Source organism: Homo sapiens, chromosome 1, assembly GCF_000001405.40.
Source record: "Homo sapiens chromosome 1, GRCh38.p14 Primary Assembly".
In the NCBI taxonomy this organism is placed as follows: domain Eukaryota; kingdom Metazoa; phylum Chordata; class Mammalia; order Primates; family Hominidae; genus Homo; species Homo sapiens.
In genome coordinates, this window is record NC_000001.11 from 178,834,548 (window position 1) to 178,849,142 (window position 14,595).

General features: G+C 39.6%; 1 protein-coding gene across 9 annotated transcripts in view; it reads left to right on the forward strand.

Annotated features, from left to right (window-relative positions):
- The window catches only part of RALGPS2 (Ral GEF with PH domain and SH3 binding motif 2), a 196,597-nt gene that overhangs the window by 109,304 nt on the left and 72,698 nt on the right, over positions 1-14,595 (forward strand). The window lies entirely within an intron of this gene.

Consider the following 14,595-nt stretch of genomic DNA (forward strand, 5'->3'; position numbering starts at 1 on the left):
GCAGAGAATGGGGACCTATTGTGTACCTTGTGTTGAAGGCAGAATACCCCTAAGCACAGTAGAGTTAGTGGCCACTGCATCCCAGAATATTTTGTCCTGTTTCTTTGATAAACAGCTTAGGATCATAGTAAGCATGACTCTTATCAGAGAGGCTCTAAGCTGGATATTAGGAGAAAGACATTCTGTATGTGCTTTACATTTTTAGGTTGTTGCTGTCATTGTTTGTTTTGTTTTGTTTTGTTTGTTTTTTGAGACAGCCTCGCTCTGTTTCCTAGGCTGGAGCTCAGAAGTGCGATCGCTGCTTGCTGCAGCCTCTGCCTTCCAAGTTCAAGTGATTCTCCTGCTTCAGCCTCCCAAGTAGCTGGGATTACAGGCAAGCACCACCACGCCCAGCTAATTTTTGTATTTTTAGTAGAGACAGGGTTTCGCCATGTTGGCCAGGCTGGTCTTGAACTCCTGGCCTCAAGTGATCCGCCCATCTCAGTCTCCCAAAGTGCTGGGATTGTAGGCATGAGCCATCACACCCAGCGTGGTGCTCTGTGTTTTACCATAGCCTTGGCTGTGCCCATACTTGCAAATATAATTTGAGGAGAGAAGGAATAGGGAATTTTTCAAAAATAATACCTTCACAATTCAGAAGAATGTGTACTTTTTATAGTATGAAGAACATTAGACTGAGAATTGGCAATCCTCAATTCCACAATGACTCTACAGTCCTTATTTTTCAAGTCATTGAATTTTCTTCTTTGAGCCTTGTTCTCTTTACCTAGAAATAGCATGCATAGGACTAGAATCATGTTCTCCTTAAGGCTGGATGGGAGCATTGTGATATCTTCTTTCTTTTCTTTTTTTTTTTTTTTTTTGCGACAGAGTCTCGCTCTGTTGTCCAGGCTAGAGTGCAGTGGCACAGTCTCAGCTCACTGCAACCTCCGCCTCCTGGGTTCAAGTGATTCTCCTGCCTCAGCCTCCCAGGTAGCTGGGATTACAGGCATGCACCACCATGCCCAGCTAATTTTTGTATTTTTAGTCGAGATGGGGTTTCACCATATTGGCCAGGCTAGTCTTGAATTCCTGACCTCAAGTTGTCCGCCCACCTCAGCCTCCCAAATTGCTGGGATTATAGGCATGAGTGATGGCACCCAGCTGTAGTGATGTCTTCTAATTAACTTATTTTACTATCGAGAAAACCAAGATCCAGAAAGGTAGAAGACCTGGCTCATAGTCCTAAGACCTAGTTACTGACAGGTCTGCATTCTGAAGTCTTAACCTAGAGAGCTCCAATTATACCTGCTGAACTCTCATTTTAAAATTTACCAATTTTACGATTGCTTTCTTTTTCTCATTGAAATATGTTTTTCTCAAACTAAATTTCATAATTTGTATCTTCTAGAAAAGAAAATTAAGATTATTTTCCATTCAAAATGAGAAAATAAGATAATAGGAATCCTTATGCTGTGATTTCTAGTTGGGGACCTTCTTGTACTCTTGGACCTTCTTGACATTTTTCCACAGTGGAGACATCAGTACAGGATTGAAGCTGTGTACGTCTGTATATGTGCTCAGGTACATTCATGCACTCTCATGCACACACAGAGAGAAAGTTGGGGAAGAAAGCACTAGCCAAGTTGGAGTTTAGTAGAATCAGGAAAGGTTTTCTAGTGGAGAATATACCTCTTCTGTCTCAGCCCCCGACCTGAAACAAAGAGTAATCATACCTACGGGTTAAAGCAAATGCGGAAAATGTTGAGGTACAGATGTTAATTTTGAGAAAATATTACAAGCATTGTTTTTCTCGTATCTTCCATTTTTCCCATCATCTCCAATGACTCCTTCTTTTTTTCAGTTCCCTTTCATTTTATATGTTCTCATGATGTAGGATCTTACGTTTCACTCTCACCGTGTAGTTCTGCTTCACTTTATACTTAAGCCAATTTAAAAGTATCTCATTCTTGTTGTCACCTTTTTCTCCATCTTCACTCTCTAGAAATTTTCCTAATAAGGTCACCAGTGACTTCCTGGTTGAAACATTTTATAGATGTTTCTCAAGCCCCATCTTAATTGTGTGAGGGTTGGTGTCAATTATTTCTCCTCCTTGAAATTCTCCACAAGTAGCACCAGTCTTTCTTGGTTTCCCTTCTACATTTCTGGCTTTTATTAGCTGCTCTTACTCTACCTTTGTCTCTTAAATGTATTCTTGAGAGGTCTCAGTCCACTTCTTTTCTTTCTTTCTTTTTTTTATTTTTATTTTTCAGAGACAGGGTCTCACTCTGTCATCCAGGCTGGTGTGCAGTGGCATGATCAGCTCACTGCAGCTTCAAACTTCTGGACTCAAGCGATCCTCCCACCTTAGCCTCTGCAGTAGCTGAGACTACAGGTGTGCACCACCAAGCACAGCTAATTTTAAAATTTTTTTTGTAGAGACAGGATCTCGCCATGTTGCCCAGGCTGATCTCAAACTCCTGGCCTCAAGCAGTCTTCCTGCTTCAGCCTCCCAAAGTGCTGGGATTACAGGTGTGAGCCACTGGGCTCAGCCAGTCCACTTCTTTTCTTACTCTATATAATCGGAGTGGTCTCATTCAGGTTTTTTCTGTATATTGCCTGATCTTCCAAATCTAGACTGAATCTGTCTAACTTTGTATATCACTGTATATTTTATATCTATCTGTATATCTTAGCTATCTACTTAATCCCTGGGGCCGTCTAACATTTTTAGGTACTAAAATACTGATTCATTAAGTGAGAAAAATCTACAGGTATCTCCCATTCAACATGTGCAGAAGTGAATTCATCATGTCTTCTTCTTCCTCCAAACTTGATCCCCATCTGATCTCCTAGCTTTCTCTACCAGTGACCAGTCAGTGTAGTAGTATTGACACTGCGGTACCACACTACAGCCTGGTGTTTTAATGCATTTCTGTTTCCTCCTCCTCTGCTTCTCATATTCTCTAGTAAAATGTATGTGTCTGAGGGTTACCCAAGAATTAGAAAACAAAAGGCAGCGGGGAGGGTTCCAAGATGGCCGAACAGGAACAACTCCAGTCTACAGCTCCCAGCATGAGCAACACAGAAGACAGGTGATTGATGCATTTCCAACTGAGGTACCGGGTTCATCTCACTGGGGCTTGTCGGACAGTGGGTGCAGGACAGTGGGTGCAGCCCACCGAGCCGAAGCAGGGCGAGGCATCACCTCACCCGGGAAGTGCAAGGGGTCAGGGCATTCCCTTTCCTAACCAAGGGAAGGTGTGACAGAAGGCACCTGGAAAATCGGGTCACTCCCACCCTAATACTGCACTTTTTCCAGAGGTCTTAGCAAATGGCACACCAGGAGATTAGATCCCGTGCCTGGCTCAGAGGGTGCCACGCCCACAGAGCCTTGTTCATTGCTAGCACAGCCATCTGAGATCGAATTGCAAGGCGGCAGCGAGGCTGGGGAAGGGGCATCCGCCATTGCTGAGGCTTGAGTAGGTAAACAAAGCGGCCTGGAAGCTCAAACTGGGTGGAGCCCACCGCAGCTCAAGGAGGCCTACCTGCCTCTGTAGAATCCACCTCTGCAGGGCATAGCTGAACAAAAGGCAGCAGAAACCTCTGCAGACTTAAATGTCCCTGTCTGACAGCTTTGAAGAGAGTAATGGTTCTCGCAGCACAGAGTTTGAGATCTGAGAACAGACAGGCTGCCTCCTCAAGTGGGTCCCTGACCCCCAAGTAGCCTAACTGGGAGACACCCCCCAGTAGGGGCAGACTGACACCTCACACATCTGGGTAGCCCTCTGAGACGAAGCTTCTAGAGGAACAATCAGGCAGCAACATTTGCTGTTCAGCAATATTCACTGTTCTGCAGCCTCCGCTGCTGATATCCCCACAAACAGGGTCTGGAGTGGACCTCCAGCAAACTCCAACAGACCTGCAGCTGCGGGTCCTGACTGTTAGAAGCAAAACTAACAGAAAGGACATCCACACCAAAACCCCATCTATATGTCACCATCATCAAAGACCAAAGGTAGATAAAACCACAAAGATGGGGAAAAAACAGAACAGAAAAGCTGAAAATTCTAAAAATCAGAGCACCTCTCCCCCTCCAAAGGAATGCTTGCCAGCAACAGAACAAAGCTGGATGGATAATGACTTTGACGAGTTGAGAGAAGAAGGCTTCAGATTATCAGACTTCTCCGAGCTAAAGGAGGAAGTTCGAATCCGTCGCAAAGAAGCTAAAAACCTTGAGAAAAGATCAGACGAATGGCTAACTAGAATAACCAGTGTAGAGAAGTCCTTAAATGACCTGATGGAGCTGAAAACCATGGCACAAGAACTACGTGACACATGCACAAGCTTCAGTAGCCTATTCGATCAACTGGAAGAAAGGGTATCAGTGATTGAAGATCAAATGAATGAAATGAAGCGAGAAGAGAAGTTTAGAGAAAAAAGTAAAAAGAAACGAACAAAGCCTCCAAGAAAAATGGGACTATGTGAAAAGACCAAACCTGCGTCTGATTGGTATACCCGAAAGTGACAGGGAGAATGGAACCAAGTTGGAAAACACTCTGCAGGATATTATCCAGGAGAACTTCACCAACCTAGCAAGGCAGGCCAACATTCAAATTCAGGAAATACAGAGAATGCCACAAAGATACTCCTCGAGAAGAGCAACTCCAAGACACATAATTGCCAGATTCACCAAAGTTGAAATGAAGGAAAAAATGTTAAGGACAGCCAGAGAGAAAGGTCAGGTTACCCTCAAAGGGAAGCCCATCAAACTAACAGCAGATCTCTCTGCAGAAACTCTACAAGGCAGAAGAGAGTGAGGGCCAATATTCAGCATTCTTAAAGAAAAGAATTTTCAACCCAGAATTTCATATCCAGCCAAACTAAGCTTCATAAGTGAAGGAGAAATAAAATCCTTTACAGACAAGCAAATGCTGAGATATTTTGTCACCACCAGGCCTGCCTTACAAGAGCTCCTGAAGGAAGCACTAAACATGGAAAGGAACAACTGGTACCAGCCACTGCAAAAACATGCCAAATTGTAGAGACCATTGATGCTAGGAAGAAACTGCATCAACTAATGAGCAAAATAACCAGCGAACATCATAATGACAGGATCAAATTCACACATAACAATATTAACTAAATGTAAATGGGCTAAATGCTCCAATTAAAAGACACAGACTGGCAAATTGGATAAAGAGTGAAGACCCATCAGTGTGCTGTATTCAGGAGACCCATCTCATGTGCAGGGACACACATAGGCTCAAAATAAAGGGATGGAGGAAGATCTGCCAAGCAAATGGAAAACAAAAAAAGGGGTTGCGATCCTAGTCTCTGATAAAACACTTTAAACCAACAAAGATCAAAAGAGACAAAGCCATTACATAATGGTAAAGGGATCAATTCAACAAGAAGAGCTAACTATCCTAAATATATATGCACCCAATACAGGAGCACCCAGATTCATAAAGCAAGTCCTTAGAGACCTACAAAGAGACTTAGACTCCCACACAATAATAATGGGAGACTTTAACACCCCACTGTCAACATTAGACAGATCAACAAGACAGAAGGTTAACAAGGATATCCAGGAATTGAACTCAGCTCTGCACCAAGCAGACCTAATAGACATCTACAGAACTCTCCACCCCAAATCAACAGAATATACATTCTTCTCAGCACCATGTTGCACTTATTCCAAAATTGACCACATAGTTGGAAGTAAAGCACTCCTCAGCAAATGTAAAAGAACATAAATTACAACAAACTGCCTCTCAGACCACAGTGCAATCAAACTAGAACTCAGGATTAAGAAACTCACTCAAAATCGCTCAACTACATGGAAACTGAACAACCTGCTCCTGAATGACTACTGGGTACATAACAAAATGAAGGCAGAAATAAAGCTGTTCTTTGAAACCAATGAGAACAAAGACACAACATACCAGAATCTCTGGGACACATTTAAAGCAGTGTGTAGAGGGAAATTTATAGCACTAAATGCCCACAAGAGAAAGCAGGAAAGATCTAAAATTGACACCCTAACATCACAATTGAACTAGAGAAGCAAGAGCAAACACCTTCAAAAGCTAGCAGAAGGCAAGAAATAACTAAGATCAGAGCAGAACTGAAGGAGATAGAGACACAAAAAACCCTTCAAGAAAATCCATGAATCCAGGAGCTGGTGTTTTTTTAAAAGATCAACAAAATAGACCACTAGCAAGACTATATATATAATAAAGAAAAGGGAGGAATCAAACAGACACAATAAAAAATGATAAAGGGGATATCACTACCGATCCCACAGAAATACAAACTACCATCAGAGAATACTGTAAACACCTCTCTGCACATAAACTAGAAAATCTAGAAGAAATGGATAAATTCCTGGACACATACACCCTCCCAAGACTAAACCAGGAAGAAGTTGAATCCCTGAATAGACCAATAACAGGCTCTGAAATTGAGGCAATAATTAATAGCCTACCAACCAAAGAAAGTCCAGGACCAGATGGATTCACAGCCAAATTCTACCAGAGGTACAAGGAGTTGCTGGTACCATTCCTTCTGAAACTATTCCAATCAATAGAAAAAGAGGGAATCCTCCCTAACTCATTTTATGAGGCCAGCATCATCCTGATACCAAAGCCTGGCAGAGACACAACAAAAAAAGAGAATTTTAGACCAATATCCTTGATGAACATTGATGCAAAAATCCTCAATAAAATACTGGCAAACCGAATCCAGCAGCACATCAAAAAGCTTATCCACCATGATCAAGTGGGCTTCATCGCTGGGATGCAAGGCTGGTTCAATATATGCAAATCAATAAATGTAATCCAGCATATAAACAGAGCCAAAGACAAAAACCACATGATTATCTCAATAGATGCAGAAAAAGCCTTTGACAAAATTCAACAACCCTTCATGCTAAAAACTCCCAATAAATTAGGTATTGATGGGACGTATTTCAAAATAATAAGAGCTATCTATGACAAACCCACAGCCAATATCATACTGAATGGGCAAAAACTGGAAGCATTCCCTTTGAAAACTGGCACAAGACAGGGATGCCCTCTCTCACCACTCCTATTCAACATAGTGTTGGAAGTTCTGGCCAGGGCAATTAGACAGGAGAAGGAAATAAAGGGTATTCAATTAGGAAAAGAGGAAGTCAAATTGTCCCTGTTTGCAGACGACATGATTGTATATCTAGAAAACCCCATTGTCTCAGCCCAAAATCTCCTTAAGCTGATAAGCAACTTCAGCAAAGTCTCAGGATACAAAATCAATGTACAAAAATCACAAGCATTCTTATACACCAACAACAGACAAACAGAGAGCCAAATCATGAGTGAACTCCCATTCACAATTGCTTCAAAGAGAATAAAATACCTAGGAATCCAACTTACAAGGGATGTGAAGCACCTCTTCAAGGAGAACTACAAACCACTGCTCAAGGAAATAAAAGAGGATACAAACAAATGGAAGAACATTCCATGCTCATGGGTAGGAAGAATCAATATCGTGAAAATGGCCATACTGCCCAAGGTAATTTACAGATTCAATGCCATCCCCATCAAGCTACCAATGACTTTCTTCACAGAATTGGAAAAAACTACTTTAAAGTTCATATGGAACCAAAAAAGAGCCCGCATTGCCAAGTCAATCCTAAGCCAAAAGAACAAAGCTGGAGGAATCACACTACCTGACTTCAAACTATACTACAAGGCTACAGTAACCAAAACAGCATGGTACTGGTACCAAAACAGAGATATAGATCAATGGAACAGAACAGAGCCCTCAGAAATAACGCCGCATACCTACAGCTATCTGATCTTTGACAAACCTGAGAAAAACAAGCAATGGGGAAAGGATTCCCTATTTAATAAATGGTGCTGGGAAAACTGGCTAGCCATATGTAGGAAGCTGAAACTGGATCCCTTCCTTACACCTTATACAAAAATCAATTCAAGATGGATTAAAGATTTAAACGTTAGACCTAAAACCATAAAAACCCTAGAAGAAAACCTAGGCATCACCATTCAGGACATAGGCATGGGCAAGGACTTCATGTCCAAAACACCAAAAGCAATGGCAACAAAAGACAAAATTGACAAATGGGATCTAATTAAACTAAAGAGCTTCTGCACAGCAAAAGAAACTACCATCAGAGTGAACAGGCAACCTACAAAATGGGAGAAAATTTTTGCAACCTACTCATCTGACAAAGGGCTAATATCCAGAATCTACAGTGAACTCAAACAAATTTACAAGAAAAAAACAAACAACCCCATCAAAAAGTGGGCGAAGGACATGAACAGACACTTCTCAAAAGAAGACATTTATGCAGCCAAAAAACACATGAAAAAATGCTCACCATCACTGGCCATCAGAGAAATGCAAATCAAAACCACTATGAGATACCATCTCACACCAGTTAGAATGGCAATCATTAAAAAGTCAGGAAACGACAGGTGCTGGAGAGGATGTGGAGAAATAGGAACAGTTTTACACTGTTGGTGGGACTGTAAACTAGTTCAACCATTGTGGAAGTCAGTGTGGCGATTCCTCAGGGATCTAGAACTAGAATTACCATTTGACCCAGCCATCCCATTACTGGGTATATACCCAAATGACTATAAATCATGCTGCTATAAAGACACATGCACACGTATGTTTATTGCGGCATTATTCACAATAGCAAAGACTTGGAACCAACCCAAATGTCCAACAATGATAGACTGGATTAAGAAAATGTGGCACATATACACCATGGAATACTATGCAGCCATAAAAAATGATGAGTTCATGTCCTTTGTAGGGACATGGATGAAATTGGAAATCATCATTCTCAGTAAACTATCGCAAGATCAAAAAACCAAACACCACATATTCTCACTCATAGGTGGGAACTGAACAATGAGATCACATGGACACAGGAAGGGGAATATCACACTCTGGGGACTGTGGTGGGGTGGGGGGAGGGGGGAGGGATAGCATTGGGAGATATACCTAATGCTAGATGACGAGTTAGTGGGTGCAGTGCACCAACATGGCGCATGTATACATATGTAACAAACCTGCACATTGTGTACATGTACCCTAAAACTTAAAGTATAATTAAAAAAAAAAAAAGAAAGAAAGAAACCAAAAAGGGAAAAAAAAACAGAAGGAAATTAAGAACATACACTATAGCATCTGCATAATTTTAGATACTGGTATTCTTCATATAGTTCATCCCTATCTGGGTATGTGAAGAAGCATCTTGATTGTGAGATTATTGTGGACTCCTGGGCATAAATATTTGGTAGACATGGGAAAGGAAAATGAAACATTTGTCAGATGAGTTTTTATGACTCAGTTTAGTTCGTTTCCAGTATGAAAATCATCCTTTTAATGTAATGACTGCTTTGCCTTATAGCAAACCGTTAGATTAAATGTATTTAATCTATTAAAACATACATGGTTTTGATTCAGAATCCTTTTCTATTCATGTGAAGGGAGGCTTAGTACAGTTGACAAAAACTTCAGCATTTATAAATGCTGTACATTTGATAGAAGTTGCCCTAAGAACAATTAAAAGGTAAAACTCATTATGCAAATTGGTAGCTTCATTTAACTATTCCTCTTCAAGTATACAGAGTTTGCATAATGCTATGCTTTATTCATTATGTCTGCAGAGGTTATTATGGAAAGAATATATCCATGAAATATCTATAGTGCATAGAAAAAAGGTAACCGCTAATGATTTCTTAACATGAGGTATATGGTCCAAACTAATAGTTTTTTCTCCCCTAAAAATGAGAACCAAAACCTACCAATTTTTGTGAAGCTTGTAAAAGGGAGTAGAGTCCTATATGCTGGTAAAACTCTTATTTTGATACCACCAAATTTATCTGTAGTTCAATGTGGATTAAATTATAAGAAGTAGAAATGTTTTCTCGGCTCTCAACTCATCATCCCTTGAAAAATTGTCTCTTCTGTTGGTTTGCATTCAAGGTAAAAATTAGTCAGCTTGGACAATATCGTGAAAAATTCTTAGAATAAGGATATAATTTGTCTAGAGAGGAATAGTTGGCAAATCTGAAGGAAAAAATTGCTTTATAAGAGAATTATTGCTTTTAAATCTGAAAGTCATTAACAACACTTATTTGTTCTTGTCATTGGAGAACAGTCTTAAGGGGCTTGTTGAAGAATTTGGCATGGTAAGTTTTATTTTGCTGACGAGAGCAAACTAGAATATTGTGAAAAAAATAATTTAGTTATATGAAACATCATAAATATTCTTTAATGTGCTTTTTCTAAGCCTCATTTCTACTTTATGTACTACAAAGATGCAGTAGCTCGACCAAGAAAGCATATTTTGGCTAGGTGCGGTGGTTCATGCCTGTCATCCTAGCACTTTGGGAGGCTGAGGCAGGTGGATCACCTGAGGTCAGGAGTTCGAGACCAGCCTGGCCAACATGGCAAAACCACGTCTCTACTAAAAAATACAAAAAATTAGCTGGGTGTGGTGGCACACGCCTGTATTCCCACTCCAGCTTGGGTGACAGAGCAAGACTCCATCTCAAAAAAAAAAAAAAAACCATATTTTTTGAACTGTGGAAATCAGTAAATTGTTGCAGTACTCTGTACTGCTTCCTATTAAGTAGAAGCAGAATGTAACAGAAAAGTTTTTGTAAAATCTCTAGCCCTCTGTAGAATGTGAGTATACTCTTTTGGTGGATCTAGATATGACTCCTTTTTCCTGTTGGAGAGAGACTTCTTCCCCTTCCCCATTTAATTTTTAATTTAATATGTCAGGTTTTCATGATAGTACTTTTTTGTTAGAAGAGAAATACTTTTCTTATAACCCTCTGTAATATAGTGTTCCTTGCCTACTGCTCTCTGAAAAGCACCCTGTTTATGATATTTTCATTAATCTGTCTCCTCCTCAACAGAATGTAAGCCCCTATTTGTCTTGGTTTAAGGGTTTATCCTTACAGCATCTAGAACAAAAGTAGTCATATAATAAATGTTTCTTGGTTCAACTAATTATCCCTTTCTAGCTCTTCCCATTGTTTCAGTGATTTTGATTTAATTTCTGTTTAAACAATAAATGTATTTGTGTGGCATATTTGCATGGGTCAACTCCTTACCCACCCCTGATTTTTTTTGTTGTTGTTATTTTGTTTTGTTTTTGGTGCCTCAGCTGGCACCTAGTATTTACTTAGCACTGTGCTTGGTGCTAAATATATAGCAAGAGATTACAATGGGCTTTGTCCCTGCCTTTATAGAACTTAATATCTCTGGAATTACAAAGGTCCAGGATATCATTAACCTCATGAATAATCTCTCCTCTTTTCTATATCCTGGAAGAGATGCATATCATTGCCTTGTGCCTTACATTGTTAGTGGTGTCCTTATCATAGTTAATGACATTTTTAAAGCATACCTAAAATGATAAGAATCTTACCGATTTGGTTTTCAGTCGTTTTTGCATATATTGAATTGTTAAATATTCAGTAGAATATAGTTATTTAGTTTTAGAAATTTCTAACTCATGTAAAAATGTTTTCAAGAATAATAGTTTTGTATTCATATTTCTATTCAGATAATTTCAACAAAGTCCAAGTCTTTTTGCTGATCTGTAGGAATTAAAAGGAGATTTTTCCTCTCGTTTGATAGAATTTTTCTTCAATATGTAAGGCTCTGACACTGATCTCAGAAATGCCTGTTGGTCAATAAATGTCATTGGCTTTTAATATTTCAAGTTTTATTCCATTTTCCTTTCTTTAGTTTGATTTGTCAATAATATACATTATGGATTACCTTACCCTATTCTTTTAATTATATGTTGTTATATATTGTATACTAAAACAGCAGTAAAGCATCTTCACTGATTTTCTTTTGGATTTGAGAATAAGCTCTGACCAAATGGCAGCTAGCCCCTTTTCTTTAGCCAGAATTACATCCCCATTTTCCATTACCTCATTTATATATTTTTTTACCCTCACTCTTTTATATATTTAAAATTCCTCTAAATTCTTTGTTGATATGTTTTCTGAAGTTTACTTTAGACCAAAGACTTCTGAAATAAAAGAGCTGGGGGTGGGGTTGTGTTAATTTCATCCCCATGTTCATAGTGTTTTCTTTAAGTGCCTTGTCTTTCTAAAAAAATAAGAACAGCAGCTATACAGATCTGCATGCTAATTGTAAACAGAATCAGATTCCCCTAACAACAGTTTTACCAGTGGTGTTTCCAACTGTGAATATTTCAGTGATTTGTTTTGTAATTTTTTTAAGCAGGCTTTAGCAGGAAAGTAATAATTTCAGTAACATTTATTCAACACTTAGGCCTATATAGCTGACACTGTACTTTATATAGATTATCTAATACATAACAGCAGTTTTATAAGGTAAATGATACTTGTATTTTACAGGTGAAGAAACTGAGACAAAGGAGTTTAAATTGACTTGCTGTAAAGATACGTATTTCATTCACAGCTCAAAGAAAGCATTATGGATTACATTAAAATTTGGGGTATCTGTGTTCAGGTTAAAATTTTGAGTTCATTCATCAGTCTTTCCTGTAATTATGTGTACAATTATAACTTGATAACAGTTAACTCCACTGATAAAACTAAAAAGTGGCCGGGCATGGTGGCTCATGCCTGTAATCCCAGCACTTTGGGAGGCCAAAGCAGGCGGATCACCTGAGGTCAGGAGTTCGAGACTAGCCTGGCCAATTTGGTGAAACCCCATCTCTACTGAAAATACAAAAATTAGCTGGGTGTGGTGGTGGGCGCCTGTAATCCCAGCTACTGGGGAGGCTGAGGCAGGAGAATCACTTGAACCCGGGAGGCAGAGGTTGCAGTGAGCCGAGATTGTGCCATTGCACTTCAGCATGGGCAACAAGAGCAAAACTCTGTCTCAAAAAGAAAAAAAAAAACTGAAAAGTGAGCTAGTTTAAGATAAGATGGCCATTTTTTCAGGGCGAGGTCATAGCCTTGTAAGTGGAATCATTGTTTTCTTACTTGGTTATTTTTCACAGACACTAGAATAAAAAGACTAAAAACTTGTTAGGGTATAATAATCTTTAACTTACTACAAAGATTAATTTAAATATATGTAAACCATATTACTTTAGTACAGATTTATAAGTTATTTAAAATGTTTTTATGATTGTGGAAGGTTTATTCTGCTGCTTATATTACCAGCAGGAGTCCTAAGAAATATAATGCTAAGAGAATAGCACTCTCCTGTCATGACTCAGAGTTAAGTAAACAGTAGAATGAAAATTGATCTTTATTCTACGAGGCATGAAGCCCAGAGATAGTGTATTTGTAGGTGTCTACTAAATTTCAAGTTGCTGTCTAATTTTGGCATTTTCCAAAATCTCAAATTTTTAAAATCTGCTTCAGGAGGTCAGGTGTTCTAGGCAATGATGGCCTCCCATTTAGTCCAGAATAGAGTCTATATCTGTTGTAGGATAAAATTCATTAACTTATTCTTGACTGGACACAGTGGCTCACACCTGTAATCCCAGTGCTTAGGGAGGCCAAGGTGGGAGGATCACTTGAGGCCAGGAGTTTGAGACCAACCTGGGCAACACAGTGAGACCCCATCTCTACAAAGAAAATACGAAAATTAGCTGGGCATGGTGGCATGCACCTGTAGTCCCAGCTACTCAGGAGGCTAAGGTGGGAGGATTGTTTGAGCCCAGGAGTTCAAGATTACAGTGAGCTAAGATCATGCCACTGCACTCCAGCCTGGGTGACATAGTGGGACCCTGTCTAAAAAAAAACAAAAAGAAAAATTAAGTAAAAGAATCCTTCTATAAACCAGCTCTAAGAGAAGGTTGTAGTTCAGTCTTACTGAAGATAAGGCAAACCCATCTTTATTCCTAGATGACCTGCAAAGTAGGTAGCTCTTGGACCTTACCTACCACACAAATGAGCTAACCTGGTCTTTCACAAGACTCTCTTTAGGCTGAAATTCATACTATGTCTCTTCTTGCCTTAAGTTTTCTTTTTATTTTTGGTCCAGCCACTTAACTGCCTACTATAACAGCTGTCATGGCTTTGTTAGATTTGCAAGTGAAGATAATGGATCAATGTAATTTCATACCCGAAAACTTGGATATTGTTTTGTTTTTTGAGAAAGAGTCTAACTCTGTCCCCCAGGCTCGAGTGCAGTGGCATAATCTCGGCCCACTGCAAGCAATTCTTCTGCCTCAGCCTCCCGAGTAGCTGGGTTTACAGGCATGTGCCACATCTGGCTAATTTTTGTGTTTTCAGTAGAGATGGGGTTTCACCATGTCGGCCAGGCTGGTCTCAAACTCCTGAGCTCAAGTGATCCACCTGCTTCGGCCTCCCAAAGTCTTGGGATTACAGATGTGAGCCACCACGCCTGGCCCGGATATTGTTTTTAAAACACGTTTGTTGATCACCTACTCTATGCAAGGTGCTATGATTTGTATTGCAGAAAGTACGTAGATGAGTAGTAATAATATGATAGTTTAAATCTGAGTACTTACGAATGTCAAGCATTATTCTTAATGTTTTACCTGTATTAACTCATTTATTTGATCGTCACAAAAACCACGAGCTAGATATTCTTATTATACCC